Raw genomic sequence first — 26,930 nt, forward strand, 5'->3', positions numbered from 1 at the left:
TTCCCTTCCTTCCATACCTGGAAGCCTGCTAGGTGTTGGAGCCTTTCGCAGGAGACTGCCTCAAAGGTGCTCACAGTTCTTCAGCGCCAGCTTTCTCCCCTGCTACCACATGGCGCCTTTTTTGTTGGTGACATCTGCGAGGTTGTCCCATGGCTGGGTTCAGCTCCCTGCTCACCTGGCAGCTGCTGCTCTGGCCTTTCTGGCCTGTGTAGGGGTTGGACACCGCTCTCCCTGCGTCTCCCCCTCCTCTGTGACCCTCCATGGTGTCTTAGTCCTTTTGTGCTGCCATGACGCTATCCCTAAGACTGAGTAGTTTATAAAGAGCAGGATTTATTTCTTACAGGTCTGGAGGCTGGGAAGTCTAAGGTGAAGGGCCTGCATCTGGCAAGGGCCTCATTGCTGCATCATCCCATGGCGGAAGTCGGAGGGGCAAGAGAGGGAGAGTGAGCAGGAGGGGGCCACACACATCCTTTAATTGGGAACCCACTCCTGGGATAAGACTGTTAATCTATTCATGAGGACAGAACCCTCAGAACCTAATCACTTCTCACAGGTCCCATCTCTCAACACTGTTGCACTGGGGATAAGGTTTCTAGCACATGAACATTGGGGGCACATTGAAAGCATAGCATATGGCTTCCCATAGAGCAGCTGAGACCAAACTTACTTTTAGTGAGACCTTTCTGGGACTTTGGGGATAATGGGAGTGAGATATTAAAACTCAGAGGATCTTGACAGCTGTGGTGGGGGTCCAGGTCCATGCTCAGACCTCTTCCTAGCCAGCCCTGTGTCTTGCTGTTGGCTGCCTTCATCTTGCCTACCTCAGAAAAGCATTGAGAGCTGCCACACCTTAGCAGCCAGGCTAAACTGCATCCTGGTCTTAGACTAGGAGATATTTTATTCTTTTTTCTCACTCCAATTTAAGACCTCCTCCATTCTCTTCTGGAGAAATCCCACCCAACACACAGGAGTCTTTCTGGCAAAGTAACCCTGAAGTGACAGATCAGCCTCAGGCTCCGTGACTCTTTCTGAAAGTCCAGGTAAGGGATTCCCAGGCGTTAGTGGGCCTCAGTCCCCTGGAGGGCCCTGCATCAGAGTTCCTGCCTGAAGGGTGCTTTGCACCTTCGGGCATATCTAGAAGAGCAAAGGCCTGATGATAATAAGCATAGGTTTCAGTGGCAGGCAAGGAGCCACTCCCCAGGAGGTCTCTCTGATAACCACCTATAGGATAAAAATCCAAATTCTTTGATTTGGCTTCATGATTTCAGTGTATCTTACAGTCTTACTTCCTTCTGCTCATCCTTTCTCCAGAACCATTGAACGGCTCACTTTCTCACATCCAGAATAAGCAGGAACTTTGTACCATTGTACCTTTAAACCCTCTTTCTTCATGTTTCTGAAATGCCTATACCCAGTCCCCCAACTTTTAAGTAAAACTTTTCTCATCCTTAAAATCCAGGTTACATAGCCCCTTAGTGAAACTTTTTCTGACCATTACTCATTCATTTATTTATTTGCTCATTGGTTTCACAAATGTTTATTGGCCACTTAGCTATTGTCCAAGGCACTGGAAATCCAGTATCCTGAGAAGGCTGGGCTCCATCAGGTGAGAGGTGAGAGATGAGGATGGGCAGGTGGGTGAGACCAGATCATAGCCACGCTAAGGAATTTGCAATTATTCTGAGGGTGGTGGGAGTCACTGGGAGATTTTAAGAAAAAAGAGGCTCTTAGACAGATGTGTGTTTTCCCAAGATCACTTGGTTGGCACGGAAAACCCTTCGGGGGAGGATAAGCAGTGAGGCAGGTGGGCGTGTGTGGAGGCTGTGAATTCGTGCAGAGTGAGAGCTAGAGCCTGCGCCAGGCTATTGACAATGGACATGTGAAGCAGTACGTGGATCCTGGGGCTGTGGGAGCGTGGGACGTGGGAACCCAAATATGTATTTTTGATGGCAAGAATGGGTTGAATGTTGGGAGGTGGGGGAGTAGGGAGGAAGGGGAAGGATGAGAGTGCCACAGGATGTCTTGCTGGCCATGGGTAGATGCTGGGGTTCTCTGCTGGGACAGGAGCAGAGACAGCCAGGTCGGGTGGAGGCGGGAGGGAGACTCTTGGGTCAGTTTTGAACACCTTGAGTTTGAGCTGCTTGTATGACATCTAGCGGAGCCCTGGGGCTGAAGGTCTGGAGAGAGGTCTGAGCACCATCCTCATATAGCAAGGACTGCGGGCATAAGTGGGCTTGTCTAGGGAGGGTTGTGGGACTAGAAGAGAGGGTGTGCCATTTCAGACTCCACTACCGTGGAGGGTCACTGGTTAAGGATGGGTAGAAGAGGAGGCACTCAAAAGGGGACTAAGCCTGAGCATCTGGAGAGGTAGGTGGAAAATTAAAGAAAACTAAGGGGAAAAGTGTATTTCTGTAAGAAGGAGTGGTGAGTAATGTTCAAAGTTGCCGAAGTGAAAGGAGCCTGAAGGGTGTCCATTGGGTTTAATGCAAGGAGATGGTTGTGAACTTGGTGGCAAGCTCAGAAGCAAGGTTAGAGTGGACCTGCAAGGTAAGTGGGAGGTGACAACGAGAGGTTGAGAGTGCAGATGGCCTTTGAAGAGGGGAGGCCAGGGCATAGCGGGAGCTAGAGGATGCCATGACCCCAGCTAGAGGATGCCATGACTCCCTTTGTTAAAGGTAGGAAAGTGTCGAATGTGTCTAGTTACTGATGAGAAGGAACCAAAGAAAGGGAGGGGTGTAGATACAGGAGAGAGGGGCTGGCTGATGAGGCAGGGCCCTTGAGGGGGCAGAGGAGTTGGGACCCAGAGCCCAGTCTGAGAGGGGCACCGGGTCATGTTTCTTTAGCCCTTGCCCTGTCCTGCCCCTGCACGCTGGGAAGCCAGCCTTGGGCTCGGCCTGTGCGGGCAGCACATGGGCCAGCTGCCCTGGGAGTCTCCACTTCCCCTTTTTTGCTGCTCCTGCCTCCCCCCATGTCTCTTTCTCTCAACACTATTTATTTCTGAAACTAATTAGACAAAAGAACCTTTTTTAAAAAAACAACTGGACCTGTATAATTTATATATGCCCAAAACGTAGTAGGAATTTCCTGAATACTTGGAGTTTCAAATGCTTGAATGCAAATATGCGGGACTATGGGGGTCCTAGGAGAGGTCTGCTTCTCTCTGGGCCAGTGGGCTGGGTATAGGGAACATAGGGAGGGATAAGTTTAAAATCCCAAACCTCCAAATGAGGTCCTATTCTTTTACTTACTAAAGTAAGAGAAGGAAAAAGAATCTCAATGGTGATACAAGTTCAAACAAGCTTGCATTTTTATATAGTGCTCAAGGAATTTTTAAAAATCACGTTATGAAAAACATGTGAAGATGGCAACTATATCTTGTTAAAAACATATGGCAGATATCAAGTGGAAATGTGGGACATTGGCATATCCCGTCTGAGCACAGCTGTCACATGGATTTTCAGAAAGCCGAAGCTGTGGTGGGGGGCCTTTCAGGGGGCAGGAAAATTGCCCTCGTTCTCCATGGGCTGGAGGATAGCGGCAGCCCAAAGCCTCAGGCAGTTAGTTGCCCCTCCTGGAACTCTGCCTCCATGAAGCCAATGAGGAAACAAGGGCAGCAGCTTGTTCTTGCTGTCCCAGCTTCCTGAGCACAGGGCTTTGCTATCGTGGGGCTACTAACTGCAGAAATAACCACAGACTTTGAGTCCTGCCACACAGATTGGTTTATTTTCAAAACCAGAGCTTGTTTTGATAAAAGGCACCAGGTGTTCCTCCTTTTTGTTTTGTTAGAAAATACATTAAGCTGAGATTTACTGAAATGCGGAAAGTGGTTTTTGTAACTAGCCCTGGGCCTTTGTTCCCTGTGGCCTGGATTAGCAAACCTCTTTTAAGGTCCTTCCCTCCACATTCCCCTTTGTCCTGCCGCACCCTGGCCCCAAGGGAGCAGAGCTGTGGTCTGAGAGAATGCACGTGGCACACTTAGCACAGTGCTGGCATCCACGAGGTGTGCAGGAGGCAAACATCAGCTATCGTTAGGTGATCCTCTTAGAAATAGTGGCTTAAAGCACCTGGTTGCAGAGGAGCTGGTCTTGTTTTCTTCTAGGCTTCCCTTCCCTGCTAACCATGAATTTTTCGTTTTGACCCAAAGTTCCCGCTAATGACTTGTTCCGTAGTTGATTCATTTGGAAAGTGGTAGGGAACAGGCAGTGTTCTGGTACTTCCTTCTGTTTGCTAAAACTTCCTAATTCCCTATTTAAAAAGCCTTCTAATAATGAAACGTCAATTAATTGGATGGTTGAAAAAAGACGAGGCGCTTGCTTTAATTTTTCTTTCTTTTTTTTCAGTTAAACTTTTTATTTTGAGACAATGGTAGACTCACATGCAGTTGTAGGAAGTACTACAGAGAGATCCTGTTTACCCCCCACCAATGGTAAAGTCTTGCAGACTAGTACAATGTTACAACCAGGATACTGACATTAATACAGTACATTAATACAGAACATTTCTGTTTTAAAACGTGCCCAGGTTTTTGTTTTTATTCATATATGATGTGGCCAATAAATGAGGAGAGGATTGCCACTGGAAAGATTATTACTCGCAGTTCCCAAGAGGAGCAGACAGGCCACACCCTGTAGGGCCACCTGGGGAAGCACAGGTGGGGAAACATAGGTGGGGAAGCGTGGGGTGTGTCAGGAAGCACAGAGAGCCAGGGAGAAACGAGCCAGGAAGGGCAGTGTCAAGCAGGGTGAGCACAGTTAGGATTGATTAAGTTTGAATAATTTTGGCAGGTCCTGGGGTACATGGGTGAGTCCCTCATTGTCAGGTACCTGGCCCTGGGGTGATTTAGGGCAGGGGAATCGTGTCCTGGACTGCAAGAGCCCGTGAAAGCAGGCAGATGGAGATAAGAACTCAGTATTGGTTGGTTTGCATATCCAAGGCATGCACACAAGCAAGTCATTCACCTAGGAGGGGCAGTCCCTCCCTGCTTCTGCAAGACCTCAGGATATCAAAGCCTCATAAAATATAGAAAAAACCTGCCAAAATACAATTTCTATCACCATAAGGATCTTTCATGTTGTCGTTTTATAGCTACACTCACTTCCCTTATACTACCACCTTCTCCTTAACCCTTGATAGCCACTAATCTGTTCTCCATTTCTATAATTCTGGCATTTGAAGAATCTTATATAAACGGAATTATAGTATGTCACCTTTTGGAATTGGCTTTTAAAAAAAACTCAGCATAATTCTCCTGAGATTCATGCAGAGAGTCTATTGTGTGGGTTAATAGTTTATTTCTTTTTACTGATAAATAGTATTCCATGGTTTGGATATCCCACAATTTGTTTAACCATTTACCCATTGAAGGACATCTTGGTTGTTTTCATTCTGGAGCCATTATGAATAAAGTTGCTATAAATACTCAGGTGAAGGCTTTCATGTGGCTGTGTTTTTATTCCTCTGGGATAAATATCCAGGAATGCATTTGCTGGGTCACATGGTAGTTGCATGTTTAGTTTTTAAATAAAATGTTAAACTACTTTTTGGTGTAGCTGTAATGAATATATGAGGATCCAGTTTCTCGACATCTTTTCCAGCATTTGTTATCGTCAGTATTTTTTTGTTTTAGCCATTCTGACACGTGCATAGTGATAATTCATTTGGTTTCACACTGTATTTCCCTAGTGGTTAATGAATGATGTTGAACATCTTTTCATGTGCTTATTTGCCATCTGTATGTCTTCCATGAAAATTTCTTCATGCCCTTTACTCATTTTCTCATTGGATTGTTTGTTTTTTTTACTGTTGAGTTTTAAGAGCTCTTTGTGTATTCTAGCTATGAGTCCTTTGTTGGATATGTGGTTTCCAAATATTTCTCCTAGTCTTTACCTGCCTTTTCATCTTAACAGGGCCTTTCACAGAGCAAATGTTTTTAATTTTGATGAAGTCCAATTTATTACTTTTTCTATCTGTGAATCATGTTTTGGTGTCAAGTCTGAGAACTCTCTGCCTAGCTCTAGATCCTGAAGATTATCTCCTGTTTTCTCCTACAACTTTTATAGTTTTACATTAACACTTACGTCTGTGATCCATTTTTTCCTTAATTTCTGGAGGCTGGGAAGTCCAAGTTCAAGAGGCACATCTGGTGAGGGCCTTCTTGCTTGGTGAAGATTCAGCAGAGTCCCAAAACAGTGCAGGTCATCTCATGGCGAGGAGACTCAGAGTGCTAACATGCTAGCTCAGATCTCTTCCTCTTTTTATAAAGCCACCAGTTCTGCTCCCATGATAACCAATCAATCCATTAATCCAATGAATGAGCCCTCATGATCCAATCACCTCTTAAAGGCCCCACCTCTCAATACTGCTACAATGGGGATTAAGTATCCACAGGATTTTTTGAGGGGACGTTCAAACTATAGCAGGTAGAATGATTCCTTCTACTTTATTCTCCTTTCCAAAATGATTTTAGCTATTCCAGTTATTTGTCCATATAATCTTAAAATAATCTTGCCTATATCTACAAAAAACTTGTTGGGGTTTTAATGGCAATTGATGTTAAATCTGCATATCAATTTGAGGAGGATTCACATCCCCACTATGTTGAGTATTCCAATTCATGAACATAGTATGTCTCTTCATTTATTAGTTCTTCTTTCATTTCTTTCGCCAGCGTTTTGTAGTTTTCAGCAAACAAGCTCTATAATGTTTTGGTAGATTTGAGCCTAAATATTTATTTTTAGATTTTGAGCAATTATAAATGGAATTGTACTTTTAATTTTGATGTTCACATGTTCATTGCTGTTATATAGAAATTCAGTTAATTTTTATAGGTTTATCTTACATCCTGTGACCTTGCTGCACTCACTATTAGTTCTAGGTTTTTGGTTTTGTTTTTTTCTTATGATTCCTTGTGATTTTCCACCTGGACAACAATCTCATCCTTTTTTCTTTCCCATCTGTATGCCTTTTATTTCTTTTTCTTGCCTTATTGCAAAGGATAGAACATCTAGCACTATGTTACCTGTGAGAGAGTAGACCTTCTTGCCTTATTGCTGATCATAGGTGGAAAACATTCAGTCTTTCACTCTTTTTTTTTTTTTTTTTTTTTTTGAGACTGAGTCTTGCTTTGCTGCCTAAACTGGAGTGCAGTGGTGCGATCTCAGCTCACTGCAACCTGCACTTTCTGGGTTCAAGCAGTTCTCCTGCCTCAGCCCCCAAAGTAGCTGCGATTAACAGGCATGTGCCACCATGCCCAGCTAATTTTTGTACTTTTAGTAGAGATGGGGTTTCACCATGTTGGCCAGGCTGTTCTCAAAGTCCTGACCTTGTGATCCACCTGCCTTGGCCTCCCAAAGTGCTGGGATTACAGGCTTGAGCCACCGTGCCTGGCCCCAGTCTTTCACTCTTAAGTATAATATTAGCTGAAGGTGTTTTGGTAGGTACTGTTTATCAAGTTGAGGGAGTTCCTTTCCATTCCTGTTTTTCTGAGAGTTTTTATCATGAATAGGTATGGAATTTTGTCAGATGCCTTTCCTGTATCAATTAATATGATCATGTGATTTTTTTTTTCCTTTAAAGCTTGTTAACATGGTGGATTAAATAGATTGGTTTTTGAATATTAAACCAGCCTTGCATCCCTGGAATAAATTTCACTTGGTCATGGTATATAATTCTTTCTATTTATTGCTGAATTCTCTTTGATAACAGATTGTTAAGAATTTTTTTTGGCTGTTACAGATGTCTGAAAAAGAAAGAAAAAAATGTTGTGTTTGTATTTATGAGGGATATTGATCTGTAGTTTTCTTTTTGTATACTGTCTGTCTGGCTTGGTAATACTAGATTCATAAAATGAATTGGAAAGTGTTCCATCCTCTTCTGTTTTCTGGAAGAGACAGTGTAGAATTAGTATTAATTATTTTTTAGATGTTTAGATGTGGAAGTCTGGGATCCTTACTCTGGCTTTGTTGGCATGGGTGGGTGTGGGGCCACAGTATTTTATGTGGCATTTGGCTGGGGTAGAGCAATTATTGTCTAAACATCTTCCCTCTTGCTAGGCTGCCCCCTGACTAGAGAAAGCAGGCTTCTGTTGTTTTTGTTTGTTTGTTTCTTTGGTTTTTGGTTTGTGTTTACTGCTGTTTCTGGGTTGCTGATTTCTTTAGCTTCAAGTCTGGGATATATGAGGCAGAAAGAAAACCACAGAACTCACCACCATGTTGTTCCCTGGGTCATGAGATCCCTAGCTGGTCAGACGGATTATTTCACCTTTCAGAGTCTTCTGGTGTTTGTTTGGTATAATTTCCAGTTTTTTTAGTTGTACTTACTGGGAAGATTAGGGAAAAGTATATTTACTCCATATTCCTGGAAGTGGAAGTACTGGCTTGCTTTAATTTTATGTTAATTCAGAGTTAGCCAGAGAATCTGTTTATTTCTAAGCCTGTCATAAATCTTTCCAAAACATTTATGTTTCAGCCTTAATATTATATATATAGGCAGGAAGTATGCTATTGTGTGCTTGTAAAATACTTGCTAGTTACTCCTTAAAGTATGGAAGACTCAAAATGCTGCGGAGCCATCTTTCTCAATTTTCGTAGTCCAGATTTATAGTATTAAAAGGCTGTTTGCAGGAGGGATTATGCAAATCAGGAAGAGGAGATGTGGCTGGAGATGAGGATTGTGGCTGGTGAGCAGTATTGAAAGGTGGAGACTACTGAAGAAGAGAAGAGTCCATGAGATGTCTCCAGGAAGGGGAGATGAGACTGGAAGGAAGGATCTGTTCTGGTTCTTGAAGTAGGCAGACATCCAGGGAATCTGTCAGCTCACTTCTGTCATTCATTCATTCATGTCTTTGTAAAGTATTGTTTTGTTTTAATAGTGCAAGTATTATACTGTATAAATACACTCTCACTGTAAAAGATTCAAGCAATAAAGCACTGTCACCTTCCCTTTCCCAGAGGTAATTATCGTTAACAGTTTGGTCTGTATCCCTCCAATCCTTTTCCCACAAATCTGCAAATACCTATTTATAGAGAGAGGCCCTATAGTTTGATGGTGACCTTGGTTAAGTTACTTTACCTCTTAGTGCCTCAGTTGTCTTGTCTCAAAAGTGAGGATTAATAGCAGGACTTTCCTCATAGAATTGTGTTGAGGATTAAATTAGCTAATGTTTGTAATGTATTTAACAGTGACTGGCAGTAGCGTGAGTGTTGTGGCTGTTACCTTAGTGTTATTATTATGTATTCTTATGCAGTACATAGTGTGCCTTGACTTTTCTTTTTCCCTTAACATTATATGTAAGAAGTCTCTCCATGTCATGACATGTCACTCAGCCTCTATTCTTCTACTGGTATGTTTCCCTACTGTAGAATAACTTAGTAACCACTGTGCTGCTGATAAAAATTTAGATTTTTCTTTTTGGTCTGTGAAAAGCAATGCTGATGATGAGTATTCCCATTCATACATCTCTGGGTGTGTGCTGGTGGATCAAAGGATGTGTACATTTTAAATTTCAGTAATTACTATACCAGGTAGCTTTTCAAAAATACTTCACCAATTTATATATACTCCTAGTAAACAGTATATCCAAATAGCTATTTACCCTTGTCCATACCATTACCCTTTATTGTCAGTCTTTTTATTACTTTTCAAAACTAGGAGCTCATTTTGCGAATGTGCAGTTCTGTGATTAGCAATAAGGCTGAGCATCTTTTCATGTTTCTTGGCCTTTTGCATTTGACTGTCAGTTTCCAGTTTTTGTAGCTGGCTCATATGGCTGGCTTTCTCTTCCTGGTTTCTAGGCTTCCCTTATATATTCTGTGTATTGGTTCTTTGCCTGTTATATATGTTACAGATATTTTTCTCTCGGACTGTCAATCTTTCAGTCTTGTTCATAGTATCACATTTTGTTGATATGTTTGTTCCTCTTATCAAAGTTTTGTTTCGTTTTTATGTAATCATATCTGTCAATCTTTTTCTTTCTTTCTTTATGATTGTTATGATTTGTTTGGTCTTAATTCTTTAAAAGACCTGTCTAGATGCTAAAACTAGGAGGTGATATTTTTATGAGAAACAGTGTATTTACAGAGTCTCAGAGTATCTTCCACAAAATAGTTGTTAATTACAAAGGAATAAAAGTGGGGAAACCCAGCAGATACCACTGTAAGCGAGTGATCCAAGTTAACATTACCAGTAATGAGACAATTAGATGTCATGTGCCTGCTGATATGCTACACTGAGAAGGACACAGCATGTAAATGACCACATGGATATGAAAACACATATATACACACATGCGTGGGAATGCAATGTATACATATATAAATACAGAGAAAGAAGGGGAAGCAAACATAGTAATGTTAACATTTTAGGGAATCTGGGGACAGGGTATATAGGAATTATTTGCATTATTTTTGTAGCCGATCTTGAAATATGAAATTATTTTTACATAAAAACTTAAAAAAATTAGAAACAAAAAAGCCTGACTACCTCAGGATAATAGAAATATCATCGATTTTCAGCTAATATACCGTCTATTTTATTGATTTGGCTTTTTAAACATCAGATTTTTATTTTGGAGTGGAGTATAAAGTGGAGTCTAACTTATTTTTTTCCAATTGTGTAGCTATTTTCTGAACACTGTCTTCTCCCTGTGGTTTTGATGAGCTGCATTTGTCATATGCTAGAGGTCTTTGCATATGCACAGATTTATGCTGATTAGAACGCTCGTTTCCTATCCCACAGATGAAACCCACGGCAGCTTCTTTTTCCTTAATATAGGGCCCTTATGCAGGGAATACAGGACATAGGGGAAAAAGAAATAAACTTTATTACCACCTCCTTCTGACCCCTGATGACCCCAAGCCAGACTCCAGCTAGCAGGTGAGGGGCTGATCCTGGAAGCCCCATCCTAGGGGTCTGCGGAAATGCTGGGTGGGCTTTGCCCTTCAGGCTGGGATGTGAGGCCCACGTGCATAGAGGTTGTAGTAGATATAACAGCAGCTACACTGCAGCAGGCCCAGGGCCAGGGGCATAAACAATACTCAGGTTAGGTCAAGTCATACCACTAACAGCAAATCATGCCCTTAACATTCAACGCTACTTTTCTGCTTAAATTTAAAGTACTGCATTATGAGGGCGTTGCAACATCTTGCTTATAACTTAAGGCCTGCTGGCTTCAAATGATTTAGGAAGCAGCCTGCTGACCACAGGAAGAAATCTTGTTGTCGGGTGGCATTTGCTTGGGCCCCAAAGAGAGGGATTTTCCAGAATGTTTTTAGGCCGCATTCTCTTTAATTAATCAATTTAACCTATTCTTCTACAATAGCCCACTGTTTCAGTGATTGCAGGTTTATAGCATCGTTTTTGAAGTTAGCAAATTGTTGATTTTCTAAAAACTGAGGTAAAGTAACATAAAATTAACCATTTTAAAGTGAACAATTTAGTGGCATTTAGTACATTTATAATGTTGAACAACCACCACCTCTATCTAGTTCCAAAACATTTTTATCACCCCAAAAGGAAATCCTGTACCCATTAAAAGTTGCTCCTCATTCTCCCTTCGCTGCCTTCCTCTGGCAACCACCAATCTGTGTTCTGTTGCTATGGGTTTGCCTATTCTGGATATTCCATATAAATGGAATCATATAAGATGTGACCTTTTTTGTTTGGCTTCTTTCACTTAGAGTCATGTTTTCAAGGTTTTTAGAATATATTTTAATGTCTGCTAGAACTATTTCCTTCCTTCTCCTCTTTTTCAAAATTGTTTTGGTTACTACCACATGTTATTTTTTCTAAAAGAACTTTAGATTCAACTCGTCAAATTGCACAAAATACTATGTTTTGATCCTCAGTGCAATTGCAGTGGGTAATAAGTTGATTTGAAGGGATTCGACATATTTGCAATACTGAGTTTTCCTATCTGGGAGCATGATTTGGGTACTTAGGTCTTGTTTTGGTACTTCTTAGTTAAGTTTTAAAGTATCCCACAGATGTTTTGTCATTTCTGTTATTGTACGTACGTGTTTGGTTTCTGTTGCGCATGGATTTTTTTGATAGCTTTATAATTGACATACAATAGACTGCATATATTTAGAGTGTATGATTTGATGAGTTTTGGAGTATGTATGTAAATGTCTGGGACACCATCATCACAGTTAAGATAATGAACATGTTCATCACCCCTAAAAGGTTCCTCCTACCCTTTTACAATGCATCCCTGATTTAGTTTGGGTATTTTGTCACCCTGTATCTCATGTTGAAATGTAATCCCCCGTGGTAGAAGTAGGGCCTGGTGGGAGGTGATTGGATCACGAGGGCGGATTTCTCATGGTTTAGCATTCCCTTTGGGTGCTGTCCTTGAGAGAGAGAGTTCTCGAGAGACCTGATCATTTAAAACTGTGTGGCACCTGCCTTCATTCTCTCACTGCTGCTCCTGCTCTGGCCATGTCACATGCCTGCTCCCACTTCACCTTCCTCCATGAGTAAAAGCTCCCTAAGGCCCCCCAGAAGCCAAGCAGATGCCGGTGCCATGCTTGTATAGGCTGTAGAACCATGAGCCAATTAAACCCCTTGTCTTTATAAATTACCTAGTTTCAGGTATTCCCTGAGACTAGCAATGCAAGAATGGCCTAATACAAGCCATCACTCCCCCAACCCCACTTCTAGGAAACCGTTGGTCTACTTACTTTCTGTCACTGTAGTCTAGGTTGCATTTTCTAGAACTTTATGTAAATTCTTTATTTTGTCTGGCTTTTTTCCTCTCAGAATAATGATCTTGAGATTCATTCATATTGTTGAGTGTGTCCTTGTTTGTTTGTTTAATGAGTAGTGCTCTGTTGTACACCTGTATGACAGTTTACCTGTTGAGGGTTATTTGGCTTGTTTCCAGTTTGGGCTATTAAAGTAAAGCTGCTGTGAACATGCATATGCAAGTCTGTGTGTGGACATACACATTCATTTCCTATGGATAAATACCTAGGAGTGGAAGGGTTGGATTGCACAGTAGATGCATGTTTAACTTTAAAAGAAACTGCCAAATTATTTTCCAAGTGGTTGTATCATTTTATATCCCAGCAGCCGAGCATCTGAGTCTCAGTTCTTCCACATCCTTGCCAACACTTGAGATAGTCATTCTTTTAATCTTAACCATTCTAGTGGATGTGTATTTGTTTATGATTTTAGTTTGCATTTCTCTAACAAGTAATGATTTTGAGCTTTTTTTTTTTTGCCATTAGTATAACTTCTTTGGTGAAGCATCTGTTCAAATTTTTTACCTGCTTTTCACTGGGTTATTTGTCTTATTCAGTTGAAAGGGTTCTTTGTATATTTTAAGTACAATTCCTTTGTTGGATATGTATGAACTATTTTCTCCCAGTCTGTAGCTTGCCTTTTCATTTTCTTAACAGTATTTTTGAAAAGCAAAAGTTTTAAAATTTGATGAAGTCTAGTTTATTTTTTTTCTTTTATAGTTAGTGCTTTTTGTGTTACATTTACTAAATCTTTGCTAGCCCTAAGGTCAAGATTTTTCCTTCTAATCCCTTCTGGAAGTTTTATGGTTTTAGTTGTTATATTTAGATCAATGATGTATTTCAAGTTAATGGTTATATGTGATATGATATATGGATCAAATATCATTTTTTATATATAGCTGTCCAATTGTTCTAGTACCCTTTCTTTAAAAATCATCTGTTCTTCATTGAATTACTTTGGCACTTATGTCAAAAATCAGCTGATCGTAGATGTATAGGCACATTGCTAGACTCTGTTTTATTCCATTGATCTATAAGTCTGCCTGTATGCCAAACCCATACTCTTTGATTACTGTAGCTTTGTAATAATTCTTAACACCAGGTAGTCTTTTAACTTTATTCTTTTTCAAAGTTATTTTGGTCGTTCTAGGTCCTTCAAATTTTAATACAAATTTAAGAATAAGCATGTCAATTTTTACAAAAAAAAAAAGCCTTCTGGGATTTTGATTGGAGTTGTATTAAATGTGTGGGTCAATTCGCAGGTAGTTGACATCTTAACAATATTAAGTCTTCAGATCCATGGATGTGGTACATCTCTTCATTTATGTAAGTCCTCTTTAATTTCTCTCAGCAGTCTTTTAGTTTTAGTGTAAAGTCTGCAGATCTTTTGTCTAATCTTTCAGGCATTTCATATTGTTGATGCTATTGTAAATGGTATTTATTTTTACTTTAACTCCATTCTTGTTGATAGAAATACAATTGATTTTTGTAGATTGACTTGGTATTCTGCAATCTTGTTAAACTCACTTATTAGTTCTTATAACGTTTTTGAATATTTCTTACAACTTCCTATGTAGATAATTATGTTGTGTGTGAATAAAAACAATTTTACTTCTTCCTTTCCAGTCTGTATGCCTCTTATTTCTTTTTGTTGCCTCCCTGAACTGGCTAGAGCATCCAGTACACTATTGAGTAGAAGTAGTGAAATCAAGCATTCTTGCCTTTTCCCAAATCTTAGGGGGAAAGCATTCGGTGTTTCACCATTTAAATATGGCATTTGCTGTGGATTTTGAAATAGATACTATTTAACAGAAAGTACCCTTCCAGAGGGTTTTTAAATCATACATGGATATTGAATTTCATCACATGCTTTATCTGCTTTTATTGAAATTATCATATGGATTTTCTCTTTTTAATTTTAATTTTTTTTTTTTTTATGGAGACAGGGTCTCACTCTGTTGCCCAGGCTGGTATCCAGTCTCAGCTTCCCAGAGTGCTAGGATTACAGATGTGAGCCACCATGCCCAGCCTGGGTTTTCTCTTTTAATCATTTAATATAATGAAATACACTGATTGATTTTTGAGTGTTAAACCAAACTTCCATTTCTGGAATAAATCCCCCATGGACATAATAAATTGTCCTTTTAATATATTGTTAGATTCAATTTTCTAAAATTTTGTTAAGAAATTTTATGTGTATGTTCATAAGGAATATGGATTGGTCTGTGGTTTTCTTATAATATCTGGTTTTAGTATTAGGGTAATACTGGTCTCATATACTGAGTTGAGAAGTGTTCCTTTCTTGCCTGTTTTCTGAAATATTTAATGTTTATTTGGTATTATTTATTCTGTAAATATTTGCAGATTTTACCAGTGAGGCTCTCTGGGCCTGGATGTGGGAAGGTTTTTAAACAACAGTTCAATTTTTTAAATAGATGTAGTGTCATTCAGGTTATCTATTCTTAAATGAGCCTTGGTAGTTTGTGTCTGCTAAGGAATTTTTCATTTAATTTAATTTTTCTAATTCCTGGGCATAAAGCTGTTCAAAATATTTCCTTGTTATCCTTTTAATGCTTCTAAGATCTGGAGAATGTACTCTCTTTTATTCCCAATAATGGTAATTGGTGTCATCTCTCTTTTTTTCTTGCTCAGGCTGCCATCCTGGATCAAATAGTAGTTCTTTTTTTAGTTCTTTCCATTTTATTTTTGGTTATAGTCTTAGTTTTATCAATTTAATCAATCTTCTCAAAGAACCAGCTTTTGGTTTTATTGACTTTTTCTATTCTTGTTTTTAACTTTATTGTGTTCACTTTTTAAAATTTTTTCTTCTGCTTACTTTGGGTTAAATGTTCTATTGTTTAAGGTGGAAGTTTTGGTCATTGATTTGAGACCTTTCTTCTTTTCTAACATAAGCATTTAATGCTATGAATTTCCCTCCAAACTCTGAATTAGCTGCATCCCTCAAATTTTGTTGTGTTGTATATAATTTTAATTCCATTCACAATGCTATCTAATTTCTCTTCTGACATCTTTTTTGACCCATAAATTATTTAGATGTGTGGTTTTTTGTTTCCATGTATTTGGGGACTTCTAGATATGTTTCTGTTACTAAGAATATATTCCGTGTGGTCAGAGAACATAGTTTTATGGCTTACAATATGAGTCAGCAAACTTTTCTGTAGAGGGCCAGATAATGTATATTTTAAGCTTTGTGAGCTATATGATCTCCATTGTATATTATTATGTTTTCAACTCTTGAAAAAATATAAAACTATCTGTAATTTATAATCTGTACACAAACAGGCTACAGGCTGGATTTGGCCTGCAAGCTGTGATTCATTGACTTCAGCCTAGAGTGTGATCCGTCCTAGTGAATGTTCCACATACACTTGAAAAGAATGTATATTCTTCTTCTGTTGCAGTTGAGTGTCCTACAGATGTCAATTAGGTCAAGTTGGTTGATAGTATTGTTCAAGTTTTCTATATTATTCCTGATTTTCTGTCAATTTGTTCTATCAATTATTAAGAGAAGGGTATTAAAATCTCTGACTATAATTGTGGATGAGTCTATTTTTTCTCAGTGCTATAAGTTTTTGTTTCCTGTATTTTGGTGTTCAGCCATTAGTTGCATAAACATTAAGGAATGATATGTCCTCGTGATTAATTGACCCCTTCATCATTATTAAGTGACCCTCTTTATCCCTGTTAATATTCCTTTCTCTGAAATCTACTTTGTCATATATTAGTATAGCCACTACAGCTTTCTTTTGATTTGTGTTGGCATGAAATATTCTTTTCCATCCTTTTGCTTTGAACCTATCTGTGTCTTTATATTTGAAGTGGGTTTCTTGTAGACACCGTATTATCTAGTCTGACAATTTCTTCCATTTAATTGTGGTGTTTAGCCATTTACATTTAACATGATTATTGATGTGGTTGGGTTTAAATGTACCAATCTTGCTTTTTGTTTAATTAATTTTTTCCCATCTGTTGTTTTTTCCCCTTTTCCTATTTTTCCAACATTTTTTATTAATTATTTTTATCTCATTTTATTTCCTCTGTTGGCTTACCAGTTCTATTTCTTTTTGTTGTTGTTGTTTCTCAGTAGTTGCTTTTGAGTCTATACCATGTATCTTTAGCTTATCACAGTCTACTTTTAAGTAATACACAACTTCATGTGTAGTGTAAGAACAGGATGTTTATTGTTCCTCTTCTAGCCCTTGTGCTATTGTTGGCATACATTTTTTTTCTACGTATGTCATAAACTCCACAATACATTGTTATCATTTTTGCTTTAAAGTTTTATTATCTTATAAAAGACTTAAAAATAATAACATAGTCTTTTATAGTTATCCCTATGGTACTATTTCTAGTGCTCTTCATTGTTTTGTGTAGATCTGCATTTGTGTAGATCTGCATCTGATATAATTTTCCTTCAGCCTGAGGAACTTTTTTGAACATTTCTCATAGTGTTGGTTTGTTGGTGATATATTCTCTCAGCTTTTGTTTGTCTGAACAAAGTCTTTATTTTGTCTTTGTATTTGAAGGATGTTTTCCTTGGGTATAGAAATCTAAGTTGGCATTTTCTTTCAGTACTTTAAAGATGTTGCTACAAATACAAAAAATTAGCTGGGTGTGATGGTGCACACCTGTAATCCCAGCAGCTCAGGAGGTTCAGGTGGGAGAATCACCCGAGCCCGGGAAGTCAAGGCTGCAGTGAGCTGTGATTGCGTTACTGCACTCCAGCCTGAGCAACAGAGTGAAACTCTGGAAAAAAAAAAAAAAAAAAAAAGATGTTGCTCCATTATCTTATGGCTTGCATTGTTTCTTATAAGAAGTCTGCTGTCATTCTTACATTTGTTTCTCTGTACATAGAGGGTTTCAGGCTGTCTTTAAGATTTTCTCTTTATCACTGGTTTTAAGCATTTTGATTATGATATACCTTGGTGTAGTTTTCTTAATGTTTATTCTGCTCAAGGCTCATTGATCTTCTTGAATTTGTGGGTTTACAGTTTTCATCAAATTTGTAATATTTCTGTTTATTATTAAAGTATTTCTTGTTCAGTTCTCCCTTTCTGGGACTCCAGTGACATGTATATTGAACCACTAGATATTGTCCCACAGCTTAAATAGCTAGAAAAACACATGGAAGGAAATAACAAAGATATAATCAGAAATTAAAAGTAAGAGAAAAGGAGGGAGAGATGTTAATTAAGAATTGAGTCTTTGTAAAAAGCATAATAGATAAACTTCTGGCAAATCTAATAGTAAAATAAAATAATATAAAGATAAGGAAAATTTATTTGGGAAAAGGAAAGTAAGAATATAGGAAATTTCAAAATTATAAAAGAAGATGATGTGTAGCTCTTATGTACTGCCATGTGTGACTGAAATTGAAAATCCTGATGAGTTAGATAATTTCTACTGCTATCTAAGAACAAATCCTAAAAAGCCTGTATCCAAGGAAGAAATTGGAAATGTTGTTAGAGAATTATTTACAACAAAAGCACTAGGCCCAAATTGCTTTAAAGTAACATTCTCTCAAATTACCAAGGAACAGTTAATTTTTACATCGTACAAACTATCCTAAAGCTTTGAAAAAAGATTGGACGCTTCTTCATTTGTTTTACAGAGCTAATTTACCAAGGTCAGTTTTACAATTGACCTTGCTAATGTAAATGGTACTGTTTCCCCCACCTCATTTTATTTTTTAAAATGGTTATTGGTGTGGTTTACATGTTTTGCATAAAGGAAAATTAATTTTTGGCCAGGCGTGGTGGCTCACACTTGTAATCCCAGCACTTTGGGAAGCCGAGGCGGGGGTATCACCTGAGGTCAGGAGTTCGAGACCAGCCTGGTCAACATGGTGAAACCCCGTCTCTACTAAAAATACAAACATTAGCTGGGTGTAGTGGCGGGCGCCTGTAATCCCAGCTACTCAGGAGGCTGAGGCAGGAGAGTTGCTTTAACCTGGGAGGTGGAGGTTGCAGTGAGCCGAGATTACACCATTGCACTCTAGCCTGGGTGACAGAGTGAGACTCCGTCTCAAAAAAAAAAAGAAAATTAAAGTTTTAAAAATAGATTTCTCTTACATTCAACAACCTCATTGAATTCTTGTTTCTAATTCCCTCCCTTGCTTCCTGGCTGTTCCATGACCCTTTAGATTATGGTTTAGGATGACAAATTTATGAGGTATGTATATGATGGGAAATTATGTGATTACAAACTACCGTGTGTGTAGGGAGTGGCAGGTGATTGGAGAAGAATGTAAGAAGTGATCGACCTGTGGACTAAGCAAATACACGTTGACTCCGTTCTCCACGCTCCTTTCTTAAGGCCTATTGGATTGTCTTCTAATGCATTTCCCTAACTCCATTCTAACCTTCTCCAGTCTTCCCTGAACTGTTGCCAGTGGAAACTTTCCAAAAGATGAGGTTACTCACCTGCTTAGAATTGTCCTCTGGCTCTCTGTTTTTAGACTTACAGGCAAATTCGTTGTTTTACTTACCACCAAGCGCTGAGCACCTAGCACTCAGTAAGTGTTTATGTAATGAATGGACTTCACTGGCATCTGAGAGTTGTTTAGATTTGCTCCTTCCCTAATTTTCATGTTCTCATTCTGCCCCCACTCACAGTTCCTCAGAGGTGCTGTGCCCATCCTTGCCTCTGTGCTTTTGTGCATGCCCACCATTCCTCTCCCTGTGGAATTATGTTCTGGTTCTGTGTGTTTCAATGGCACCCTTTTCCTCCATTGCAGTGCTTACCACTCTTTAATTACAGTTTAATTACAGTTACCACTCTTTAATTACTTCTCTGTGTACTGAGCCCCATGAGGAGGAGGCCACAGAGCTATGCCTTTCGCATAGCTGTACCCCCAGTACCCAGCACAGGGCCTGGTGCACACATTCTCCACCAGCACACACAGGATGTTTATTGAATTGAATTAGCTGGCTCCTTTCTGTTTGGCCTTCTTGTGTCTGGGATATTGGATGCCAACATCCAGCTAAGTTATGTTTGTGTTAAACATGAATTGAAATGCAATTACAGCTGGCAATGTGCTTTGAGAGCTGAGTAATAGAGTACATAAGAAGAGTGACTTAGGCACGAGGACCAGTTTATCTCCTTTCCTTTCTTGCCTCCTGTCATCGGGCATGACTCATGAACGGCGCGAGTTCAACTTGTCTTCTCTTAAATCCCATCACTTCAACTCTTCCTGCCCTCCTTGTCTTGATGGGTCTCTTTCAGGGCCCCTTTGTTAAAACCAGCAAGAAGCCCAGAGCCAGGCCTTGCAGTCTGAGTTGGTTGGAGCCAGAGGAGGCTGCACTCCCCACTCCAGGGCAGAGGTGGGGCCAGCACCATGGGTAGGAGTGTGCACGGGGCTGCTGAAATGCTGGCTGGATCACTAGTTTTCACTACTAATCACATCCTGCTAGTGCCCTAGCTAAGGCAAACATGGTGTCTTTTATCAAAGATGTTGCCACTTTACCTTAGACCCATTGCTTTCATAGCCTTCTCGAATTGCATTCAGGAATTGTGTCTTAGGTTTGGACCCACCTTGAGGTTAATTGATTTGGCTTGATAGAAAAACTCCTCCCTTCTTGTTCTTTTGTTTGTTTGTTTGTTTTGTTTTGAGATGGAGTCTTGCTCTGTTGCCCAGGCTGGAGTGCAGTGGCGCAATCTCCACTCACTGCAAGCTCCGCCTCCCGGGTTCACGCCATTCTCCTGCCTCAGCCTCCCAAGTAGCTGGGAATACAGGTGCCCGCCACCAGGCCTGGCTAATTTTTTGTATTTTTTAGTAGAGACGGGGTTTCACCGCGTTAGCCAGGATGGTCTCTATCTCCTGACCTCATGATCCACCTGCCTCGGCCTCCCAAAGTGCTGGGATTACAGGCGTGAGCCACCGCGCCTGGCCTGTTTTTTGGGATTTTTTTTGAGAGGGAGTCTTGCTCTGTCACCCAGGCTGGAGTGCAGTGGTGCAATCTTGGCTCACTGCAACCTCCGCCTCCCAGGTTCAAGTGATTCTCCTGCCTCAGCCTCCTGAGTAGCTGGGACTACAGGTGCCTGCCACCACACCCAGCTAATTTTTTTTTTTTTTTTTTGTATTTTTAATAGAGACGGGGTTTCACCGTGTTAGCCAGAATGGTCTCGATCTCCTGACCTCATGATCTATCCACCTCGGCCTCCCAAAGTGTCTTTTTTTTTTTTTTTTAAGAGACAGAGTCTCGCTCTGTTGCCCAGGCTGGAGTGCAATGGTGCAATCTTAGCTCACTGCAACCTTCGTCTCCCAGGTTCAAGTGATTCTCCTGTCTCAGCCTCCCGAGTAGCTGGGATTACGGGCATCCACCATCGTGCCCAGATAATTTTTGTATTTTTTGTATTTTTGTAGAGACAGGGTTTCACCATGTTGGCCAGGCTGGTCTCAAACTCCTGACCTCAGATGATCCGCCTGCCTTGGCCTCCCAAAGTGCTAGGATTACAGGCATGAAACACTGCACCCGGCCTCCAGAATCTTTCAGACCATGCAGTTGCTTATTAATATACCTTTCTATTGTTTCTCTAAATCAGCTGGCATGCTCATTTTATAAATCCACTTTCCTGGGTCCAAAGGGAGATTTCATCAAACTTTAGAGATGGAGCAGAGGAAGAGGGAAGTTTTTATTTATTAGCAGTTATTTATTAAGCCCCCACCACGGGCCTGTACTGGGTACTGCAAACTGAGTGGTGAATGGTCAGATGTAGCACTTGCCTGCATGGAATTTACAGACCCAGACTGAAGGATTAAAATGAAAACAGGGGTAGCAGAGATTGGAGCACCCTCCAGTGGCCCTCTTCCTTCCCAAGATTAATCCCAGTAGGTGAGTTCTCATTTCCACATCTTCCTGCCTGGCTTTTGCTTGGAATTCCCTCCCTCATTGTGCTGTCAATCTCTTCCCCTCCTCTGTGTCTTCCTTTCCACAAAGACATGCCTCTGTCCCCTCTGTTCTTAGCAGATGCGGCCTCCGCCACCCTCCCTTCATCTCACCAGCTCCTCCAGCCACCATCTTTGTATGCCCTACTCCCCAAAATCGTCCCTGCTTGCCATCTCCTCTTCATTATCCCCACTCACCCCTCAATTCCTAAATTGTCTAACTCAGTGGCTCTTTCCTAATCCGTATTCTTCTCAACCTCATCTCTACTTTGGTTACTGTTGACCAATTTCCTCCTGCCTTAATATATTCATTTTCTGAATGCAGAACTAGTACATGTTCATTATGGACTATGTAGAAGATGTTAAAAAGCACAAGGAAGAAAATAAAAGCGACCTGTAATCCTACAACTCAGGAAAACTATTGTCCACACTTTAACTGTGTTTAGTTTGTATGTGTGTGTGTTTTAGCAGTAATGGGATTCTATTTATATAAATTTTATAACGTGCTTATTATTGCATCATATTTTCTTATTGTATTTTTGCAGTATTTTCTTAGATCATCGGATATTCTTCTATAGTCCTTCTTTCCTAAAATGCTGCATTCCTTCCATTTGATTTCAGCTGCATTCAGCTTTGTTCCTCTCTGACCCCCCTTCTTGTAGTAGCCTCTCCCTCACTGTGCACCCTGCCCAGTTCCCACCCAGCCTCCTGCACTGAGCATTCTTCTCTCACTTGGCGTCTGGCCCTGCCAGGCGCCGAGCTTCTGACTCCACGCAGCCAGCCTGTGCTCTCCGTAGCACGGGGCCTCCATTTCCACCAGGCTGCTGGACAAGCCCACAAATCGTGACCGGCTGACACCTCAACCTGAATATTCCCAAACCGAACTCCTCTTCTGTTTCCTTACCACTCCCAATAGAAGACCCAACCTACAACCACCCTTCTTCTGAATGTTCCCACGAGACAGAGGCCAGAATCCTTCCAAGGCTTCTCTGCTAGCCCTACCTGCCAGCACCCCATCAGGCATTTCTTCATCTTTTCATCCTCCTCTTCTGTCTCTGCTACCAGCTGGATAAGGTCCTCACAAGTCTTGACGCGGGTAGTTTCTTCTAAGCAGTCTCTGGTGCCTCCCATCTCGACTCCAGGTTTCTCCTATAAGCGCCACTCTGAGAATTTCTCCTTCCTGCCCGGGGCTCTCCAGCCACGCTCCCCCTCTTGCTCCCTAGGATGGGGCAGGTCCTAAGACAGCACCTGCCCTGCAGCCTCCCAGGTTCCAGCTCCTCCCACCAGATCTCTGTGGTCGTATGGTCTGCTCTCTCTCTCTCATCCGCGTGGCCAGTGGTCCAGCCAACCCCACGCTTCCCACATGTGCCGGGGAGGACCCACACCCTGGCCTTTTCTGTCCTTTCTTCTAGGGGTGCGCCTGCCCCTCTGCCCCTACTTCGTTTCTGCCTGCCAGCACTTTATGATGCATCCCACCTGAAGATGCCTTTGGTTCTGTTTATCCTCCCAGCAGCCTGCCTCTTCTCCTTCTGCCTTATGCTTGCTTTTGAGAGCTCTCAGCACTTGGCGCTCCCTTACAGCACGGAGGTGATTCTGTCTTACACTTCTGATGACACCAAATATCCATACTGTGTCTGCCCCTGCACTAGTTGCTTCCACACACAGTATTTATTTCACACAATAACCCTGCCAAGTTACTATTGCAGTCTTGTTTTACAAGTAAGAAAGCAAAGCCTCTGAGAGCTCAAGGGTGTGGCTGAGTGGAGGTCAAACCCAGGTCTCCTGCCTCTGTGTGGCTCTCTTCCCTGCGCCCTCACTCCTGATTCAGCTCACCTGGGAGCCATCCTCGGAGGGAGGGGAGGGAGTGCCTGACATATCATAAATGGCTAGAGAATGTTTGCTGAAAGAAAAGGAAAGACTTGTGTCCTGAAGAGATGAATTGCAGCTTAGTGATGATGGCACATGCTGGGGAGGGCTCTATTTGATGCCAGGCCCGCCTGCATATCTAGGTGCGGAAGGGAAGCAGTGGTTTCCGATGCAACGCCGATACTTGGCATTGATTAAGTGATTACTTTGTACTGACCAAAGCACTTTCTTTGGTGCTGTAACTACAACTGTATGAGCTAGGACCTACTGTTTCCATTTATAGAGACAAAAGCCGAGGCTCAGAGAGGTTAAGTAACACAGCCAAGGCCACACAGCCACTACTGGTTTGTGAATCCAGGATTTGAATCACATCTGTCTAGTATCAAGGCCCATGTTTTAAACTCTGTATGCTGCTGGCCTGCGAGGCTGGTATTGGGTGATGTGGAGCAAACATTGTTATCCCAGATTCCAGCCAGGAAGGGGCTTTGGAGCCTGCCCTGCTTTGCTTTTTCTTCCTTCTCTGCTCAGCAGATGCACCCTCCATAATGAAATCACCTTGAACTCCTTGGATACCGTGGTAGAGAGAGGGTTGGAGAACCTTGTCTTTAAAATTTTTTAAAAAAAATCACATGACATTTAAAAAATTATCAAAGCTCATCTCAGAAAATCTAAATCATGTAGAATTCTATCAACCAAAGAGTGAAAATATTACCTTTCTTTTTTCCTCTAATGCCAATACATCTCGTTGACAGTTTGCAAGTATCTTTCTAGACTTATGTTTTTCTTTTTACCAAAAAAGTATTTATTTTTAATTAAATAAGGAATAGAAGAATATCTTTTATCTAAAAAAATTAAATAATAACAGCCAAGGCTTAAGTACCTTTCAACCACACCAGTTTGCTCATTTTTCTTCCTGACTTTTTTCTCTGCATTTATATGTAAATGACTTACAGAAATACATCGTTGTAATTTGTGTTTTTAATATAAATTAGATCATGCCATCAGCTCATGCTTTATTTTTATGAAGATGTACATATGTCATGTAGATCTTTCTAGACTCGCGTGTGTAGACCCTCCACACTCTTGTTAACGGGTGTGTGATGCTCCGTGGTTGAGTGAGGGCCACAGGAGCCTTCTGCTGCTCAGCCTGTAGTTCTTTTACCTTCAGTTTTTCACTGAACAAAGCTTTTAGTGCATGCTTCCTTGTTAACGTTGTTGGATTTAGCAAATAAAAATACAGGATGAACATTTTGAAAAAATTTTTAATTAAGAAAGGTATTTGTTGTTTGTCAGAAATTTAAATTTCACTGGGTGTCCTGTATTGTCTGTAGCAACTCCATTCCTTATGCACATTTGTGAGATTTGAAATAAAAAGTTTCTTCTTCAGGTCTATTGTCTGATTTTTAAAATTAAAAAGTTATGTTACAAAATATTCCAAATATATAGAAAAGTATAGGGAACAATGTAGCAAATGTCTATGTATCCACCATGCAGCTCTTCCAGGTCTTGATGTTTCACCAAATTTCTGTCAGATTTCTTTTTTAATAAAAGAAAGAAAACATTATTGATGCCCATGCAACCCCCAGGCCCATGCCTCCCTCCTTTCCAGAGTCTCTACTGCTCTGAGTTTGGTGTTTTTCATTCCTAGGTATCTTTCCATGTTTTCACACTTTATATAGGTGATATCCTACATGGGATATACGTCACACTTATATGTATTTTTCACGTGGGTTTTTTTTTGTTTGTTTTTTTGTTTTTTGGCAGATTTTCACTCTTGTTGCCCAGGCTAGAGTGCAATAGCGCAATCTCAGCTCACTGCAACCTCCGCCTTCCAGGTTCAAATGATTCTTCTGCCTCAGCCTCCCGAGTAGCTGGGATTATAGGCATGTGCCACCACACCCAGCTAATTTTGTATTTTTAGTAGAGACGGGGTTTCTTCATGTTGGTCAGGCTGGTCTCGAACTCCTGACCTCAGGTGATCCACCCACCTGGGCCTCCCAAAGTGCTGGGATTACAGGTGTGAGCCACCATGCCCAGCCAGCATGTTTTTTTTTCTTAGCATTGTTCTTGAGATATTTTTCCTTGCTGATACAGCTCTAGTTCATGTATTTTCAAGGGGTATAGAATTATATTCCATGAATATACTATAACTTAGTTATTCATTCTTCTGTTGGTGAGGATTTGGGTCATTTTCAATAATGCAATACTATAAACAATGTTGTAAATAATATCCTTTTGTCTTTATGCTAAGGATTTCTCTAGGGAACAAGTTAGGAATAGAATTGCCGGTCATTTTCGCCTTTCTGGATATGGACATGTGCCCTCTGAAGTGGCGTGCAGGTTCAGGTTTGTACTCCACTCATTTTGTTGGACATTTGCAGTTTGGTCAGTGATTTGCTGTGAATGGTCTAGCACTGCCATTTTGCTTGTGGGTGATGTCTTTTTCTTATTGCTTGGGAGGGGCTCTTTTTTTTTTTTTTTTTTCCCCAGACAGAGTCTCGTTCTGTTGCCTAGGCTGGAGTGCAGTGGCGCCATCTCAGCTCATTGCAGCCTCTGCCTCTGGGTTCAAGTGATTCTCCTGCCTCAGCCTCCCGAGTAGCTGGGATTGCAGGCGCCCACCACCATGCCCAGCTAATTTTTGCATTTTTAGTAGAGACTGGGTTTCACCGTGTTGGCCAGGCTGGTCTTGAACTCCTGACCTGAAGTGATCCACCCACCTCGACCTCCCAAAGTACTGGGATTGCAGGTGTGAGTCACCGCGCCTGGCCTGGAGGGGTTTTTTATTTCCTTATTTTGGATGTTAATCTATTGTCACTGTGCACTGCTCCCAGTCTAAGGCTTATCTTTTTACTTTGTGTCTTGTGTCTTACAAAGGATCCCTTTGGGATCCCTAGGGATACTACAAAGTATCCAAGTTTTCAATTTTAGGGTAGTAAGATTCATCAGCCTATTCTTTTATAGATGGTTTTGTACATGTCCATCTATTTCTTTAATAATTCTCTCTATTTAAACATAAATATACTCCACATTTTTTTCTAAAAGTTTGGAAGTTTTGCTTTTCACATTTCATCTTTAATCCATCAAGAATTTGTTTTTGACAAATTGAGGTAGGGCTCAACTTAGTTTTTCCTCTGTAGTGACGATCAGGTGTCTGGGTACTATTGATTGACTAGTCCCTACTTCAGCCACTGATGCGTCACTGGCAGTGCCGTGGTAGACCAGGTATCCTGTGGCTGAGAGGAGCCGGCCTTCCCCTGGGTGCCGACCAGCCGCAAGGCAACCTCTAGGCTGCTGATGCTGCTCTCTGCAGGCTTGTGGAGGTCCAGGGCCGTGTCATAGCTTGGCCGTCTGGGTGCGACAGAAACGGGAGCACTTCTGGCCCAGAGCCTCCTTCCTGATGACTTGGAACAGGGAGG

At 40.9% G+C, this 26,930-nt stretch overlaps 1 protein-coding gene across 7 annotated transcripts in view, besides 1 other annotated feature; it reads left to right on the top strand.

Moving 5' to 3' along the window:
• MVB12B (multivesicular body subunit 12B) overlaps positions 1-26,930 on the top strand; it is a 180,212-nt gene that overhangs the window by 17,571 nt on the left and 135,711 nt on the right. The window lies entirely within an intron of this gene.
• Positions 2,342-3,302: an enhancer, noted in NCBI's record as "H3K27ac-H3K4me1 hESC enhancer chr9:129109020-129109980 (GRCh37/hg19 assembly coordinates)". NCBI's record gives its function as "activates a minimal SCP1, AML or CMV promoter by ChIP-STARR-seq in primed H9 embryonic stem cells {active_cell/tissue: H9 hESC(primed)}" and the evidence as "EXISTENCE:reporter gene assay evidence [ECO:0000049][PMID:30033119]".

The sequence above is a fragment of the Homo sapiens genome, chromosome 9, assembly GCF_000001405.40.
Source record: "Homo sapiens chromosome 9, GRCh38.p14 Primary Assembly".
Lineage (NCBI taxonomy): Eukaryota > Metazoa > Chordata > Mammalia > Primates > Hominidae > Homo > Homo sapiens.